The sequence below is a fragment of the Homo sapiens genome, chromosome Y (assembly GCF_000001405.40).
Source record: "Homo sapiens chromosome Y, GRCh38.p14 Primary Assembly".
In the NCBI taxonomy this organism is placed as follows: Eukaryota; Metazoa; Chordata; class Mammalia; order Primates; family Hominidae; genus Homo; species Homo sapiens.
Genome location: NC_000024.10, coordinates 18,821,682 through 18,840,823, shown reverse-complemented (window position 1 = coordinate 18,840,823; position 19,142 = coordinate 18,821,682). Strand labels below are relative to the sequence as shown.

The 19,142-nt window shown below is 34.4% G+C and overlaps 1 long non-coding RNA gene and 3 pseudogenes across 2 annotated transcripts in view; 3 read left to right on the top strand and 1 right to left on the bottom strand.

The window, feature by feature from the left end:
• On the top strand, window positions 1,511-7,822 carry USP9YP28 (USP9Y pseudogene 28; annotated as a pseudogene).
• LOC124905305 (uncharacterized) overlaps window positions 4,426-19,142 on the top strand; it is a 33,859-nt gene continuing 19,142 nt past the window's right edge. Inside the window, exons 1-5 of one of the 2 annotated variants that reach the window (XR_007068459.1) lie at window positions 4,426-4,504; window positions 6,906-7,068; window positions 7,721-7,822; window positions 10,185-10,388; window positions 12,105-12,239. This is a non-coding gene — a long non-coding RNA (uncharacterized LOC124905305). The remainder of the gene's footprint in view (window positions 4,505-6,905; window positions 7,069-7,720; window positions 7,823-10,184; window positions 10,389-12,104; window positions 12,240-19,142) is intronic. The other variant, XR_007068458.1, reaches the window with a different exon arrangement.
• Window positions 6,934-7,095, top strand: RNU1-41P (RNA, U1 small nuclear 41, pseudogene; annotated as a pseudogene).
• USP9YP10 (USP9Y pseudogene 10) lies at window positions 11,336-14,717 on the bottom strand (annotated as a pseudogene).

The following is a 19,142-nucleotide window of genomic DNA, read 5'->3' as shown; positions in this document are numbered from 1 at the left end:
CTTTCTATGGTACCACGAGAAAGGCAGGAAAAGGCAGATCTTACCAGATGGCTGAATTAGTGTTGTCTTTTGGATATTCCAGTTGGAATTGGCAAAGGGACTGCCAGACTAGCGATATATGAGGAACAGAGAGTAAGAGAATGAGAGAGAGAGAGAGAGAGAGAGAGAGAGAGAAAGAGAGAGGAAAGAGGGAGCCAGTGTTAGGGGTGGATTCCTGAGACTTGAGGGATTTAGAGCCCTGGCCTGAGCCTTGCAGTTTCCTTCAGGTCAGTTGTCCTTCTCACACAAATCGCTTGAAGAGTAAAATGAGCAAAAAGATGGGGCAGGTGGCCAGAGACTCTCAGGATCCAGGAGTTTGCTTAGGATAAGCTGCCATTGCCCACAGCTTCCTGGGATGTAAGGGAGCCTCTGCCACCAATACCGGTCCTGGGTATCAGCAACCAATGTAAGGATTAAAGAAAGAGGAGAGAAACCTGAAGGGTAGCTTGACAGTCAACAGGGACAGGTTTATTTTTAATCAGTGTGAGAGGGGCGGCTGGCCAGGTTAAGTCAGAGCCACACTCTGTTAACAGACTAAGAGTATTCCGTGATTCAGTCTCACAGTGCTTATCAGAGGGTTGGACTGCCTCTGTGTCTCTTTGTTGTGGTTATCTGACAGAGAGTGTTGTGTGTCTGTTTTCATACAGCTTTCTAGAGTTGCAGGCATGTCCCCCATGTCTGCTTCTAGCTTCCGTATCTTAGTGCACCTGAAGGGAAAGGAATGTGCTTATTATTTGTAGTAAGAAGAGAAGTGATTTCCTTGAAATGCATGAGGCTAAAAAGAGAGCTGGAAGTTAATGTGGCAGTATTTGTTCAAGATGAAGGTGCTCCTGCTCTATCACTTTCTAGTCAGGTAATTGCACAGCTGTTAGTTTTGTTTTGTTTTGTTTTTTGGAGTAATTATATACTTAGATGTAAATTCTGTTGTCTGCAAATTCAAATCAGAAAATTTATATGATTCTATTTGATGTCTTTGCCATACACAAATGCATGCTTACATATATTATAACACCTGTGAGTTTTAAAAATTATTTTATGGTAATAAATAGTGATTTCTCAGCCCTCTGAAAAACAAGATTAAATTATTTTGTGTATTGAATATTCACAATTATTTAGGAAATCACTGAAGTTTATATTTTCTTAAATTTACTTTTCTACTGGTTAAATTGAAAGGTATTTTAGTAAGAAAACTGTAATAGAAAATTAAAATTACTGATAATATAAATCACTAAATGGTTTAAATTATTCTATTGAAGTTGTGGAAGTGTTGTTGTTGTTTTAATTATAGCAGCATAAAAATATACAATAAAATTTACCACAGCTCTTTATTTTCTCTCTCAAAGAGGAATTGTATTTAATCATTTTCTTTGTTAGATGTTTGCTCTTTATAAGAACGAGACTCTTTTTATTCAAATAGAAGCTGTTTTGTAATCTTGATTCTATTACACCAATGAATACTTCTTTTTCACAGAAATGCAACAACTTGAGCAAGAGTGATCAGTTACTAAGAGGAGTACCTAACGTCCTTAGAAGAAAAGATTCAGATCATAGGGATTTTATTTACAGAAATGTATTTACCTGTTTGTAATGTATGCCAGTTTAGGTAAGACATTTTCATGTTATATCAATGATGTTTTTATTTTTAAATATAAAATGAGAATCATTTTTTAATCAAGTTATTACATGTAATGTGTCCTAAAGTACAGGCAATATTCCATATACATATATACATATAGATACATATATATATATATATAAAAATGCATAGCAAATCTGTGTAACTTTAATGTATTTCATGTATTCTTAGGTTATTTATGCATTTGTTTTATTTTTCTGGTAATCTTTAAGATTAGATATTGTGCCCGATTGATGTTATCTTTCTCTCTCTTTTATTTATTTATTTATTTTGGAGATGGAGTCTAGCTCTGTGTCCAGGCTGGAGTGCAGGGACAAGATCTCGGCTCACTGCAACCTCCACCTCCTGTGTTCAAGTGATTCCACAGGCTTAGCCTCCCTAGAAGCTGGGACTACAGGTGTGCCACCACGCCTGGTTAAATATATATGTATATATATATATCTGTATTTTGTAGAGACGGGGTTTCACCATGTTGGCCAAGATGGTCTCAAACTCCTGATCTTGTAATCTGCACATGTCGGCCTCCCAAAGTGCTGTGATTACAGACTTGAGTCACTGTGCCCAGCCGATGTTATCTCTTAATGTTGCTTTTTGAAAAGTACTAACTTCCAGGTCATATCCCACACTATCTAAATCAGAATTTCTAGAACTTGGGAAAGGTATCCACATCCTTAGGGGATACCAATTAGTTGTTTTGCTTTTCAGGTTTAAAAATGACATCTATGAGAAACTTAGCGCATATGTATGCTTTTGTTAAAATAAAGAAAAAGAAATTTGGTGATAATGTAAATAAATAATTCACTTAAAATTTTTGTTGCTATTAGCATAAATTAAGAAATGCAGGTTTAAGTAAATGTCTCTTAGGGTAGTCTGATTTTCCTCACATCAGCCTATTGCACAGTAGTCCTAAAGGCATGGATAGATTGTCAGAAACGTACAACAAAAATATTTGTACTGTATTCAATGTTAGTGCAACATTTCAAAATTACTAATTTATGGATCTATTTAAAATTTAATTACTAGATAATATCTCAGTGATATTGATAAATATTAGGTCATATTTATATGAATGACTCAGACAATTAGCAGATCATTTTAAGTAATTTGTTTAAATTACAAATATTTTCCTATCAAAACTAATTTCTATGGTCACACATTCCTGTAATGAAAGTGTTATTTGTATTATTAATATTTACCTTCAAGAGGAAATACATTTTACCCTTTACTCTTCCTGCTCTAACGATCTCTGTGCTTTCTTTTCCTCAGCCTTGCCTGACTACCTCTGAGATGCTGGGATACTTTTAGTAGAGTAGGAGCATATATTATACAAACATAAACACAATAATTATTTTGAATGTAAAAGTATCATACTCAAGAACTCACAAAAATTTTGTCTTGCACAATTTAACTTGAGATTTTAGTTGCTTTTACAAAACCCATGATTGGTTTATAATATAACCTAAGTTTAATTTTAATTGAGGAAGTTCATTATACATTTATACATCTTAAGGCATTTAGGCAGTGTGTTTTAGGTATTAGGAATTTTTAAAATTTGAGAAAACTGAGTCAACACAGTTGCATCGCATCGTGTACCATTCCCTGTAAGGCCCCCAAAGTACCCAAGAATGAAACATACTAATGTTTCTATGACGAGAAATGAATATTCCCTTTATGGGTGAAGACTTAAATAGCTTCCCTCAATTAAGTCTTTATTACATCAGAAATTGAGTTACATAACAACCTTATTTTTAAAAGCCTTGCTTACTTGAGCTTTTCGAATTTCAGATAAAGTATTTTGAATCCCTCCTAATTATGATTTTGAAAATACAGTACTGAATAAACAGTCCAGGTGGGATAATATTAAAGGATTGTAATAAACAAACAAACAAACAAAATACAGAGGGCTCTGCTGCCTGTTGTAGGGAGTATGTGTCTTAAATTTGGAGAGTAAAAAGCACTTGCAGTAGAAAAGGGTTGCTTTGTTAATTTTTTTTTCTAAGTAGTTAGTGGGTACAGACTTAGTATTGACATAACTTGGCTTTTCTAGCATTTATGTGAGATATTCACTGTGACTTGATAAACCATTAGAGAATCACAAAAGGCATACATTTGTAACAACTCACAGGCTATAGCATAGAAAGTTTCACAATAGACCACAGTAAGGAAGTATTCAAAATTATCTGTATAAAAACTTTGTGGGTGCTCTATATTACAAAAACGGCAATGCAGAACATATGTGTGGACAGATTTATGAGCTCTTTATGAGTTAGTATAGTCAGGTGTCGGTAATTGGATATTTGAGGAAGTGGAGCAGGAAAGAGACAACACCTACGCCCCGGATGTGATTTGATAAGCTGAAGGAATAGTAATGCAATTTACTGACAGAAAAAGGAGAACCTCTTCGAGCGGATTGCATTTTAGAAACATATGGGAAACCAAATAAAAAATTGTAATGGGGAGTTGGATACATATGTCCAGAATTTGGAATCATCTAAAAGGATACATGTGTTACTATAGATGTAATAATGAAAAAAGTCATTGGAAGGAATGTCTTAGAATGGAAACTTTTTTTAAAAAAGTTAATGTTAACATGGTAGATAACATTAAGTTATCTAAAAGCAATCCGTAGCCTCTAAGTAGTTTAAATTAGTATGTAAGAAGAATAATTTCTTTCTTTTTCTTTTTCTTTTTCTTTTTTTCTTTTTCTTTTTTTTTTTTTTTTTTTTTTTTTTTTGGGAGAGAGTCTCGTTCTGTCACCCGGGCTGGAGTGCAGGAGGACAATCTCGGCTCGCTGAAACCTCTGCCGCCTGGGTTCAAGCAATTCTCTGGGTCAGCGTCCTGCGTAGCTGGGATTACAAGCGCCTGCCACCACAGTTGGCTAATGTTTAAAAGAGATGGGGTTTCACCGTCTTGACCAGCCTGGTTTTGAGAAAAATCATAATTTTAAAAAACTGTGCTTATGCTAAAAACAGATCCTTAGCATTCTTCCAGTATTCTTAGTTGTGTCATTTGCTTTAAAATAAGCCTAAGAATTGCACCAGAATTAGCTGCACAACTCCGCCAGGAAATGCAAAGTTTTATTGTTATAGGATTCTAGAAACAATCATATTATATATCTGGAAACTCTATACACACATGCCCACACACACAAAAACACACACAATTTTCACTGAATAGACATCATAATAAGCACACTGAAAACCTAATAAAGTTATTATAAAGCTGTAGAACACAATGATTAAAAGCAAATGATAATCTTAAATTTTAAAGAACTGAAAATATTAGAATTTAAGAATTAAAATGTTCTAATTGTTCTTTGGTCCACTATCATAGATTTCAAGCAGATTAATTAATGTAGTAGAATGACATTAATAGTTCCTATCAATGGGATTTAATTTATACCATTTTGAAAATAGTTTGTTGTCATATATTGTTTACTGTGTGACTTCTTGTATTTGCTCTAAAGTAAGGCTAAATCACATCTTAGCCTCATCTCATCCAAGGAAGTGATTACAGTAAAGGTATCCATGTTGGGTTAATGTGTAAAATAGTGGTTGTGGATTAATGTGGGTTTGATGTAGGAATTTATTATTCTCCTTATTAAGATTAGCTTGAAATGTACTGTGTGACGAATATTTAGTCTATTCAATAAGTGGTATTCAACAGATATATATCAACAAGTGCTATGTACCAACCACTGTTCAAGGTGGCAGATAAAAATATAGGCAAAGATAATATTAATCCAAATTGCACATGAAAACATTTGATACTATTGATAATGTGGCAGATGAAATGATTTTCACTTTATTATAATTTTTAAGAGAATGAGATAATTAAATGTGTACTGTAAGTGTTACAAGAAGCCTATCCATGTTATTCTTTACTGAAATAATTAGATTACAAAAATCACCTTTTTCAAAAGAAATTTATATTATAAATGCTCCCATGGCAAAAACAAAAAGCCTGGTCTTTGACTTGGAATATATTCTTATTATATAAAGTAAGATACATGGCAGAGAGAAGAAAAAACAATTTTATTCATCTGTCCTGGTAATGACAAAAAAGACAGAAGTCATATTTTTTTTGCAATTTTAGATTGGACTCCTAAGAATAGCAGACAGTTGGCAGTGTAAATATGTTGTAAATTAGCTAGCCCTGAAACAAAATGACTGATCATTAGCAAATCGGGCAACTTTTATTATTGCCATTGTAAGTTGCTTTACCTATCATGAGTGTGCTCTTATACTATTAGAATTGAAATCTATTCTGTACTGCCAATTTATATCCCTGTTTTATAATCTTGGGATTCTTGCTTTACATTCTAAAATGTTGTCTCTGAACAATTAGTGAATATCAAGTAAGTTTTTTATTTTTTTTAAAGGTAGTCTTAAAAGTCTAATGATCTTTAGTGAAAATAATGAGGAGATTTGGATATGGTGGTTCATTTCTGTAATCCCAAGTAGTTGGAAGGATGAGGCAGGAGTATATTACTTGAACCCTGGAGTGTGAGGACTGATTGAGCTATGTGCTATCATCATGCCACTGCAGTCCAGCCTGGGCCACAGAGCATAATCTGAATAAAAAATAGAACTATAAAAAGTAATATAGCATTGCTGTTTTTAATTCACTTGTAGTAATGCATAGATAGCATATTTAGCCAAAACGTTTTAAACTGGTAATATGCCAAGAGGTCAGATGTTTGAGTCAGATTGCTAGCTAGCTCCTCAACTGGCTAAATCTGTAGTATTTTGCAAAGTATTTCTCCTAAATGTAATTAGTTTTTTTATTTGTTAAATGGATTTACTAATGCTACCTGCTTAGGAAACTAACTCTGATATTAATTAGTTTACCTCAAAAACTTGTTCTGAATGACATATATTAGGCAATAAAATATTAGCTACTACTTGATATTACAAATTCTTTTCATCTGTTTACTTTTAAAGCTCATAGTGAGCACAATAAAATTCCAGAAGACCGATGATGGCTGTTAGATATAACAGAACGCTCTGAGAGTCACTATCAGAAATGAGCATATCAGTGCATAAAATGTATGGTAGCTTTATTTAGCAGCTGTTTCATTGTTTACCATAGCATTTTTTCTTACAATTTTGTAGAAGCCTGTGTCAGAATCAAGAAGTTTTTTTTAGAAGATGATAATCATGGATGATTGAAATCATACTGAAAATTATTCTAAATTCTATTATATTTATAGTTGTATTTTCTTTCAAAGGATAATGGAAGTCTTAAAAAGAAAATGGATACTTCTCTGCCAGGGGAGATACTGTGATCATGAAGGTGGCTTTCCCAGGGCAAGGCTGATCTATTGCATTCTGGATGTGCTGACTCCTACGATTTCCCCAAGTGTGGGAAACTCAACTGCATAATTTGTGGAAGTAATGACTGTGTTTGCACTTTCACGTGGAAAAAGAAAAGGAAAGGAAAGGAAAGGAAAGGAAAGGAAAGGAAAGGAAAGGAAAGGAAAGGAAAGAAAGAAAATTGACTCGTTTAGTGGATATAGAAACTTGAAAGAAGACCATATACTGGAAACAATTCCATGTGTCTAAAAAATGGTCTCCTCCAGTACACAAAAATAAAACATCAAATGTTTATTTCTTAGAAAGATCAAATAGTGCTAGGATGACACTTACAAAAGCTTTCAAACTTTGGATGAGTGGGCAGGGGGAAGCCCCAAAGGGCAGCAGATAAATCTGGGAAAAAGAGAAATAATTTTTAAATGTGTAAGCCAATGTTTATGTATTAATATTGCCCTTAAAAATATTTATTTTATTAAATGGTTAGCATTGGTTTGTTTGGTCTTAGAAAGTATTTCCTTTTGGAAATGACTTGTGTGAAATGGTCTAGAAATTATGTAGCTAAAATAATTCATATTTTTCCCTGTATTACAAATCATTTGCAGGCATTGCAAACATATTAAAGATGCCAGCTTTTTTGCACTTCTTAACGTTTATTCTAAATGAAGAAAATTAAATATAAGGTACAAAGTTACTTTTATAATCAAATAAATCAGTCTTTTTAAATATTTAGAATTTGAAGCCAGATGACAAAGATGCCTTAGATGAGCATAAGTCCTCTCCAACAGAATATGCTCCATTATATCCTCATCCAACAGGCTTTATGTATCAATAGGTAAATAAATAAAGTTTTTATTTTTCTTTTTTGAACTCATTTTCATCTTTACTTACGTGGTTTTCAATTATTATTTTCTTACATATTTTGTAACGTATCAGCTGTGACTGTAAATTAAGAAAAACATTATCTAGGGCAGCTTTGGCAAGATGATCAGAAGAAGAATGCTTCAAGTGGGGTCATGTTTTATTTTACCCTTTTGATATTTTGTTTGTAATTAGGTACTACCTTGTCCTAGTTCATAAAAATGTGTCATATTTCAATAAGATCATAAAGTAATTTATTTAATCTCTCTCAAAATCCAGTGACAGTAAAAATTAACAATTTTACGAGTTTTCATACAAAATTTACCAAAAAACAAATACTGACCAAAAATATAAATAAAAACCATTTCTGAGCACTTCTAAGTTAAAACAAATATTTTTATTAAAATATTATGGGAAGACTAGACACGACGTGAGTAATGCACTTTTCTCTTTCTTTCTGTCTTTCTTTGTTTCTTCCTTTCTTTCTCTCTTTCTTTCTTTCTTTTCCTTTCTTTCTTTCCTTCTTTTCCTTCCTTTCTTCTTTCTTTCTTTTCTTTTTCTTTTCTTTTCCTCATTCTCTCTCTCTTCTTTCTTTCTTTTCTTTCTTTCTTTCTTTCTTTCTTACTTTCTTTCTTCCTTTCTTCCTTTCCTTCTTTTTTTCTGATGCAGTTTCACTCTTGTTGCATGGGCTGTACTGCAATGTTTGCGATCTTGGCTCACTACAACTTCCACCCCATGAGTTCAAGCGGTTCTCCTGCCTCAGCCTCCCAAGTAGCTAGGATTACAGGCATGCACAACCACGTGTGGCTAATTTTGTATTTTTGGTAGAGACAGGGTTTCCCCTTGTCAGCCAGGGTGGTCTGGATCTCCTGACCTCGTGATCCACCTGCCTTGGACTCTCAAAGTGCTGGTATTACAGGTGGTGAGCCATGGCACCTGGCTAAGTTAATCATTTGAAAGGTTTTCTTGTGCTGTAACATTTAGCATGACTTCTCACCAAGTTCATGTAGCCAAGGGATGGAATCACCCAGAGTAACAGCTTTATTGCTCAGAAACCTTATTTTTTAAAACCAGAAAAATGTAAAAAACAAGCAGATTATAATTCTACACGTTCTTCACCTTTAATATAGTTTAATTTCTTGTTGAGATAAGGAATATTGCCATATGTTTAATAGAAATTCTAAAATATTAAAACCAACATGAACACTTTTCATATGTCACAATGTGTGGAGCATGGTAGACTGTATTTTTTTTTTTTTTTTTGGACTGGGGCACTTTTGTGATAGAATTTACTAAGTGATGCTTGTGATGCTTTTAAAACATGGCTTCATCTAATTCCAGTGAAGTGCATATTATCAGAATCCACAGTATTTTGAATTACCAGTGTGCCAAGATTTCTGACTGCTTTGCTACCCAGTCACAATTTTCCTTGAAAGCAGTAAGGCTCGTAGTTTATTTCTATGTTATTTTAAAGTGTTTGTTGTTAGAGGTAGGGTTTACTGAAGATATAAGCTCCTTCCGATTTTAAATAATTCATACAATTTTTTTCATTCAATATAATATCTCTATGCCCATTGTTGGAAACAATAGGATATGAAGTGTGTTGCACAGTGTGAGGAACAGCAATTCGTTTGTTTGAACTGGTTAGAATATACTATGTTTTTATCTTTTTATAGTATGTAAACATTAGCATTGAACATTATGAATGCCAAATGCAGTCTACATTAGTCAAGACCTATAAATACACTATCAGGGCTACTGATATTGGTACATTGTAATCCAACTATGTCATGGGCCTTCCTATTTGGCCTATTGTTATTTGCAGTCTACATTTCTCTCCAGGCCTAGACTTAGATTTGGGAATTTCTGTTCCTTAAAGAGTACAAAAGAAATAAGTGTAGATTAATTCTATTCCTGCTTTACTGCTGCACCTCTATAAGGTTGCCATCTCAAGTGAATACATCATGATGTCCTGGTTCTAATCACCTTCCAATCATCCTGGAGAGGATTCTTCAAATGGGAACCAACATGTCCTTTTTTAATGTACCCCTTAAATTTGTACTATTAAGAAGATGCCAGGATGTGACTCAGCCCATTGAAAGTCCATGTGTCACATACAGGCTTCTGTTTGAAAGTCCAGTTTTCTATTGTTCACATGGCCAGGACGTTGATTACTATTTACTACTCATGAATTCAAACAATTGCCTTTATAAATCATGGTTTAATGTTTTTAATCCTTTATTTAAAAAGAAAAAAAACAGCATGCAGTTCAATCATTGAGGTAATTTGCTCATTCCATCTTCAATTGGTCTTTTTATTTCTGGTCTCTGTGAAAGCCTGCCAACAGGACATTGTTCATCCACCTTGAAACGGCCATTCATCAACCAAGCAGGTTGTTGTTGTCAATAGGGAGCTCTTCAAAGGGCATTGCCCATGTGACAGTGGGATCCAGTAATTCCTGAGGTGGTTCCAGACTACATGCTAGAAAATTCCCTACTACCTGCTCTTGAACAGGATGAGCAACTCCTTGCACTTCCCTGGTAACGTTTTTCTCCTATAAAGCCATTTTTTATGTTATCTTGGAAGTGTTCTGAGCACTTCCTCATTAGACTGTTTCCTTACTTTGCCCAACACGTTATAGGTGTTGCAAGTTTTATAATTATTTTATGGTCTTCAGTCAAAGAAGCAGGCAAGGCAAGCTAGTAATTATCTTTCCAATGGCACGTATTATTTCATGGCATCCAGGAGTGCCCTGGACCACAATTTCCAGCTAATGCTGAAGAGGGGCATGTGTGGGTTTTCTCTCATCACCTTAGTCTGCCCAAGAACATGTGCCAGTACTTCTAAAATCAGAATTTGGATCACAAAGCCCCAACGTGTGGAGAGAAAGAGCTTTTTACAATTCAGAAGTGGACAGCTTTAGTGAAATTTCTTATTTAAATAGACCATTATTTATTGTTTCTTTAAATTGATGCATTATAATTTTACCTATTTACAAAGTAGAACTATTATTTTGATACATGCACACAATGAGCAATGAGCAAATTTTTAAATGGCTTATTGGTAATTGGTATATTAGTCATTTCAGACATATATGACATATTTGTTTCAAGAACTTTCCAAATCTAAACTTCTAGTTATTTTGAAATCTGTAATAAGTTATTCATACCTATAGTCTCCCTTCTATACAATCAAACTTTAGGACCTATTCCTTCTAACTTTATTTTTTACACATTAACTAGCTCACTTATTTGTTTGCTCAATGTCTTTCACAGCCTGTAATAATATGTCATGCTATTCTCTACCTCCATGAGATGAAATTTGTTATTTCTGAGATATGAATAAAAACATGCAATCCTTGTCCTTTATATTTTTTGGCTAGTTTCACTTAATACTTGTCCTTTAAATGAAGGCTTTTTTCTGACTAATGTTTAGTTAATGTATTGAGGTTTTTATACAACTGAAATAAGCACTCACCTAAAATTTCTCTTAACTGTTGCCAAAACTCTCTGGGTACATAGGATTGCAGTTTGAAAACGGCTAAATGAACAAAGATGTCTTGAAGGTGTCCTAGGACATTAATATTGTACGATTTTCTATCTCCTGTCTTACTTAACTCTGGTTTGTCTTCAAATTAATAAAAATATTCTAGTAAATTATCTTGGGGATCAACATTAAAGACCAAAAAAAAAAAAAAAAAATCAGTAATGCACTAGTTTAACTTTATAAATATAAGGAAAAAAGTTGAAACAAATACCAAAAGTTACTGAATAAAATGAAATACATTTTTATACTCTTAATTTTAAAAGCACTTTATTTACTTTTTATTTTTTACTATTATTGCTTATTTGAAACATGAACTGTTATAACTGGGTTCACGGAGAAGTTATCATAAAAGAGTAGCAAAGAAATAACATACACTGCAGGTAATATAAAATAGTAAAATTTTGTCAAGTATGCAGGAGTGAAGACAAATGAGTCCTCTTCTACTTTGGGGGAATACGTTACATAGGGTTTGTAAGATGGATTCAGTATCTTTTTTGAGAATAATGCATTTTCCAAATTACATAAGATTATTTACTTGAGGAGATCAGTATTATTAAGACTCAATAAATATGCCTATTAACCGTAGTTGTGGAAGGAATGAGAGCATAGACAGAAGCTCTAAAATCAAAACATGATTGTAGCCATAGAGCAAAATACAGTTGGTTTACAAGTGTCTGAGAGGTTTCTGTATGCTTTTCATTGTGTCTTAGGTTTGTGATGAAGAAATAAACAATGCCCAGTTCCTGCCCTGGAGAAGCTCATTGCATAGAAAAAGGAAAAAGGCAGATATACATGCCACAGTACAGTGCTGAGACAACATAAATCACAAGCAACCAAGTACAAAGGTAAGATATGTAATTTGAAATTTTATATTCTGTTTCTATTGCTTCTTGCTGTTGTGAGTAGCCATCTCTATATGTGTTAAATTCAACACCCTAGGGGTAACACGGACTATGGTACCAGAACTTACATTCCAATTTTTCTTCCAATAGTGGCTGTTAACCAAGTATTGGTGAATATCCTATATGAAGATTCTGCTAAAAGTAAAGCTACCCTGACTGCGATGCATGGATGATACAATTTACTGCGTCTAGGAAAGAGAAAGAAAGTGTGTGGGCCGGGCGCGGTGGCTCCCGCCTGTAATCCCAGCACTTTGGGAGGCCGAGGCGGGCGGATCACGAGGTCAGGAGATCGAGACCATCCCGGCTAAAACGGTGAAACCCCGTCTCTACTAAAAATACAAAAAATTAGCCGGGCGTAGTGGCGGGCGCCTGTAGTCCCAGCTACTTGGGAGGCTGAGGCAGGAGAATGGCGTGAACCCGGGAGGCGGAGCTTGCAGTGAGCCGAGATCCCGCCACTGCACTCCAGCCTGGGCGACAGAGCGAGACTCCGTCTCAAAAAAAAAAAGAAAGTGTGTGTTTTGTAATTTCCATAAATGATAAGTGTTGATACACTAGTAGCTGAAAGACAAACTATTTCTGCCCACTGAAAGGAAAAAATGAAGAATTATAGGAAAACCATTTACTACAGTTAAACTAGACTGATTTTTAAATTTACCTTCTGTCGATATCTATACAAAAAGTAAAATAATAATAATAAAGGGCTTGAGCATAAACATTACCAAAATTTATGTATTCCATGTTCACTTATTTGGAGGTATATCCTAAATAGGTGATCTGCTGACCTAACTTCTTTACGCTTTATTATAAAATGAATACTTTTCATAGGCAGTGTGATCATAATTCTTAACTAATATTTTTTACAAATTCACATAGCATAATATGAAGAACAAATTTGTTTCTTTAGCAGAAAAAGCTTTCATTTGGGAAAAATATAGAGAGAATTTTAAAAATAAGCACAGCTTCTGAAATGCAAATAATATAAATATGTCAGTTATAGTATCTCAGAGATTTTAGCTATATTATGAAAACATACTTCCTACATGATTATTTTAAAGCACAATAATTTCAGAGACAAAAGAGTAGCTGCTATCAGAATCTTCAAACACAGTAACAGAAATTAATAATTAGAATTTACCTCACCGTTCTGCTTCTCATCTTCAAAAAATCATTGTCTATATTTTTACCTATGCATTCAATTGCGAGAACACTGCTTCCAGTGGAATATATATATATATATATATATATATATATATATATATGTGTGTGTGTGTGTGTGTGTGTGTGTGTGTGTGTGTGTGTGTGTGTGTGTATAGCTGCTGGATCACAAAATTCATGTGATAGGTGGCACCAGCAGTTTGAGTCCCACAAATATTTCTGGTGGGTGAGATCTAACAGAGTGCAGATATTCCCCCTGAAAAAGTGCTTCACAACCTGAGATAACAAGAAAAAATAGTGCTTGTACTATGAAAATAATAACTCTGCCTACTCTTCTTTCCGTCAAGTGACAAATTAATATTAACAACAACTCATTTATCAACACTGCCGTTTTGAAAGAGTACTTTAGATTTTTATATTAACAACAAATCAAGTGACTATTATAGATTTTTAACTTCAGACCCTTTAGGTCCATATTTTAATGACATAACATCTGTTTGTTTAAAAAGGAAAGTATTTGTTTAAAAAAACCTCTTTTGAATATACATATAACTATGTCAATTCAATTGTTAAATAAATTAACATACAAAGTGTTTTTAAAAAGAAAACTCTTCTCTCTACATGGTTGCCACAAGACAAATAAAGATCTGATCTTTTAAGCAGTGAGTTTAGTACAAAACTCCTACAATGTGCTAGAAAATATGCTCACACAGAGAAAAACATAAATATAATTTCACATTTATCAATTAAAGTTATGTACAGAATGCTGTTGTTAATTGTATTCTAAAACCTCAGTTTTCTCTTGAAATAAACTAAATTTTGTTATCATTTGTTAATTTACTTATATTACCTCCCACCCTGAGTTTCAGTTCCATGTAAGATTTGAACATTGCTACTTACTTTGCTGTACTGACGTGGATATTTAGAAGTAATACAATGCACCCCAAAGTTCTCTTCTCGTATTATGAAAGTGGGTTTCATTGAATTACTTTCAAAGTAAACTATTATTAATGAAGAAAAACAGCTTTATAATTTAAAAACTCACTAGTTACTGCTTTGTCTATGTAATATATTGCATTCAATCAGTCTACTATCTTTCTGAGGTTCTTTCCACAGCCCATAGCTAGTGCCACAAGTAGATCAAAACCAGGATTGATGGCAATGGTAGAGCTACAGACTGGAAGAGCTGGCTCTGCTGGCAGTTCTTTACTTCTTAAATACTACAGTTAAACTTGATGCAGGGAAGAGAACAACATCAATTAATTCCTAGTAAGTTAGAAAAAGAAATCACATGTTATTAGTAGAAAACATATGTTAAGAAAAATATGTCTTTTCAAGAAAATACTTTTATGTTTATTTGACATAAACATCTCATTATATCTTGAAACAATTTTGGATTGTGTTCCAAAGAAAAATCATTTAAAAAAAACCGAGGACAATCAATAAATGTAATTCATTTCCAAAATTAGATTTTTGAAGAAATTTCTAAAACTTGAGAGTTTTACCCAAAAGAAAAATAACATTCTAAATTAACCTACTCTTTTAATTACACATTAATGGAAGTAAATTTATTTTCAAAAAAAGAAAATGCATTAAAATTACGTTATTTTTCTTGAATTATGAGACATATAAACAAAGTCATCAAAAAGATGATATAAAAATAAGTTTTTGCAAGATGGATGTTTTCTCAATTAGAAATTCAATCAAGGACAAGGCATGGTGACTCATACCTGTAATTTCAGCACTTTTGGAGGCGAAGGCAGGGAGCATACTTGAAGCCAAGAGCTTGAGACAGGCCTGGCCAATATGGTCAAATCCCATCAGGTGTGGTGGTGCTCACCTTTAATTTCAGCTAATCAAGAAGCTGAGGCAGAATAATCACTTGAAACTGGGAAGCAGGGGGTTGCAGTGTGCCAAGATTGCACTGCTATACTCCAGCCAAAGACACAATGTGAGATTCCTTTATAAAAATAAAAGAAAATAAATTAAATCAATTAAGAATTGAGATATACTGCTTATTTACTTTTCAATGCAGTTTGTGGCAACTCTGAACTGCAATTACAAAAATGTCTTAAATAAAGCGCAGCACACATTTCAAAGTTACTATAACCTCACCTCTGCAGAAAGAAAGCTTTTTATTTTTAAATGCTGCTCCTCTTCCTGTGTCTATGTGTCTTTAATGTTCAATGTGAACATTGTTGATTGTGAACATGTACTGCTTGTTTTTGTTTTTAATTTCTGTGTTAGTTTGCTGAGGATGATGGCTTCCAGCTTCACCCATCTCCCTTCAGAGAACATGATCTCCTTCTTTTATTGGCTGCATATTATTTCATGGTATATATGTGCCATGCTTTCTTTATCCAGTCTGTTACTGATGGGCATCTGAGTAATTCAATGCCTTTGCTACTGTAATTAGTGCTGTAACACACATACACATGCACCTATTATTAGAATAGAATGACTTTTTTTTGAAGGGGGGCTATATACCCAGTAATGAAATAGCTGAGTCATTTGGGTTTAAGCAATTGTCCTGCCTCAGCCTCCTGAGAAGCTGAGACTGCAAGTGCCCGCTACCATGCCCAGCTCCTTTATCTTTTTAATTATTGTCACATCAAATCTAGAACTAAGCATGTGAAAAGAAAACTAGGTATGAGGAAAATGAAAAGCAAACCACAATGAGAGATATAAATGTATATTAAATAGAATGGCCTGTAATCAGAAAGAAATGACAGATGTTTGTGAATATATGGAAACATTGGGAAGCACATCCAAATTGCTAGTGGGAATATAAAGTGAGGTTGCTTCTTTAGAAAACAGTCTGTTTCTTAAATAATTTGAGTACATTTGCATATTTTCCAAAAATCAAGGTGTATTTATGCTAATTTGTATAGGAATGTTTGTAGTAGCATTAGTCACGATATAAATGTTTCCATCAACTCCTAATGTGGAGGTAGACCTAGGCCGATGCTACCCTTGCCGTGCATTGGCATCATACGTTCACCTACCATATATCTGATATGATTGATGCAAATCCATATATTCTATAATGAAACCACCAAGATAAAGAATTTAGACAAAATACTGAAACTTTTTTGCCTCAGTATGCCTGGCTTAATAACAGGAAAGAATAGCAAGCCTGTTGCAGAAATCTCAAGCTTAGGAGACCCCAGCATTGTAAAGAAAGGAAACTCTGCCTTAGAAGGAGGCATTGTCTTTACCTTTCATGGGTGTTTCTTATACATAGCCCCTTGAGGATAATCTGCAACAGAAGGCTGTAAGTCACAAACAGCCTCATACTGTATGAATCCATTTATATGAAGTGTCTGTAATAGGCAAATCCATAGTGACAGAAAACGGCTTATTGGATACCAAGGGCTCTAGGAAACGGGGAAGCTGGGAGTTAATGGTAATGGGTGCAGAGGTGTTTTCATTTTTTTGATGATGGAAATCTTCTGTATTTAAAAAGTGGTGATGTTTGCACACCTTTGTGAATACCCTGAAAAAAAACAGAGTATGTACTTTAAAATGGCTAATGTGATAGTTTGTGAGTTATCTCTCAATTAAAAAACTGTTGAAAGCTTGGTCAAAGTTTTGAGCACTACGAGCCTTAGCAGGAATGTAGATGCAAGTTAAACACGAGACAAAAGTATTGAATGGGCCTCAGTCACATAAAGTGGCAGAGAAGTGAACAACTGAAAAAACAATGTGAGCTAAACTCAAAATTGGAATTGAATAAGAAAGAATGCTTTCTCCAGTCTACACAGCAAAACTGGGGGAAATGGCCATGTAGGTGGATGATGGTTTACTTATAAATAATGCCTAGAAATATGCCCCTAAATGTTAAACCATTTTATATAAGAAGGCGAAACTCAGAATCTAGAAAGAAGTTGGCAATATCCGTTTTAAATTATAAATTGTGGAGCATACACCTGAAGAATTTAATGTACCTTTTAATCCTTGTTATACATAAATAGAAGCAGACAGAATTATCTAGTTTGACAATAAAACCAGCAGGATAAATAATTTAGACAAATTATGTAACTTTTTATTGCTTCAGTCTCCACAGTTTAATAAGAAGACCAAATAATAAGTCGTGTTGCAGATATTATGTCTTTGAACCTTTTAGAATAAAGGTCATGCCAGGCATGATTACTCACACGTTCAATCAAAACAATTAAGTGTGGGGGGCCAAGGCGGGTGGACGACCTGAGGCCAGGAGTTTGACATCAGCCTGGCCAACATGGAGAAACCCCGTCTGCATTAAAAATGTCAAAAACAAACAAACAAACAAAAAAACTGCCAGTTGGTCTGGGAGGCCCCTGAGTTCCCAGCTACTCAGGAGGCTGACACAGCAGAATTGCTTGAACCCAAGAGGCAGAGGTGGCAGTGAACTGAGATCCTGTCACTCCAGCTTGAGCAACAGAGCAAGATTTAATCACACTCCACCCCCGGGCCATAAATAGATAGATAGATAGATAGATAGATAGATAGATAGATAGATAGATAGATAAATTTAAGTGCAAATATATCAAGTATTGTTTATGCCAGTTCACCTGACAAAAGACAAAAATCCATGTTCTGATGGAATTTACATTTTGGCTTTAGTGAAAAGTAGTGACAACAGCTAGTGATTTTATTTTTAAGTAATAAAGATAAGGTTGGTGGGTTCATTTATAAGCAGGTAAATAGTATAAGCTCAAAGGAGATCTGAGCAAACTTATTGAAACAACAAGGAGTGCAAAACCTCTGAAGTTGTAGCCTACACTGAGGCTCAGAACAAGAAAGAGGACGGTAGAAGAAGATAAGCAAAATATAAGAAGAAGAAAATAATATGCAGTGGTTTATTACATTATAAAGACCATGGTTTTATCTTAGGACAAAGGGAAGCTGGGATTGAATGCTAATAGGTAGATTTACTTTTTAAGGTAAGGACAAATAGTGATGGTTGCATAACGTTGAGAATATCGTGAAAATCACTGAATTTGTACTTTACAATGGCTAATTTTATAGTATCTGAGCTATAACTCACATAGTTGTAATAGTGTAATAGTTGTAATAGTGGAAGATAGGAGATCACTAAAGAGGCTGAGTTAATCAGATGGGAAATGTGGATGACCTGTATCTGGGTGACAGCAGGAGAAACAGGGAAAAGTGGTGAGATTCGGGACCCGTTTTAAAAGGAAAACATGCAGAATTTGGGGATTAATAGAAATGATGAGATGTAAAGAAAAGCATCACTGTTGACCTTACAGTTTTAGGCCTTTGCAGCGGGATGTAATTACTATCAGGTGAAATGGGAAACACCTGGGGAAAGTTTTTTGGCAGGAGCATCAGAATTCAGTGTGTAGCCTTGAGATCAAATTGTCTGTTAAACATGAGTATGTGCATTAGAGTCATCCATGATTTGGGCTTTAGTAAGAGACTGGCTGGAGATAACAATCTGGGACTCAGTACCATTTAGAAATCCATGGTACTGAAGAGATAACTGGGAGATTGAGAGTAAACTCACTAGGAATAGTTCAAAGAAGAGACAAACTAAGAAATAGTTGTTACATTTGGCCAGGACTGGTGGCTCACACCTCCAATGGCAGCACTTTGGGAGCCTGAGGCAGGCAGACGGCTTGATCCCAGGAATCAAGACCAGCCTGGGATACAAGGAGAGGCCGTGTTTCTACCAAAATTAGCTAGTCT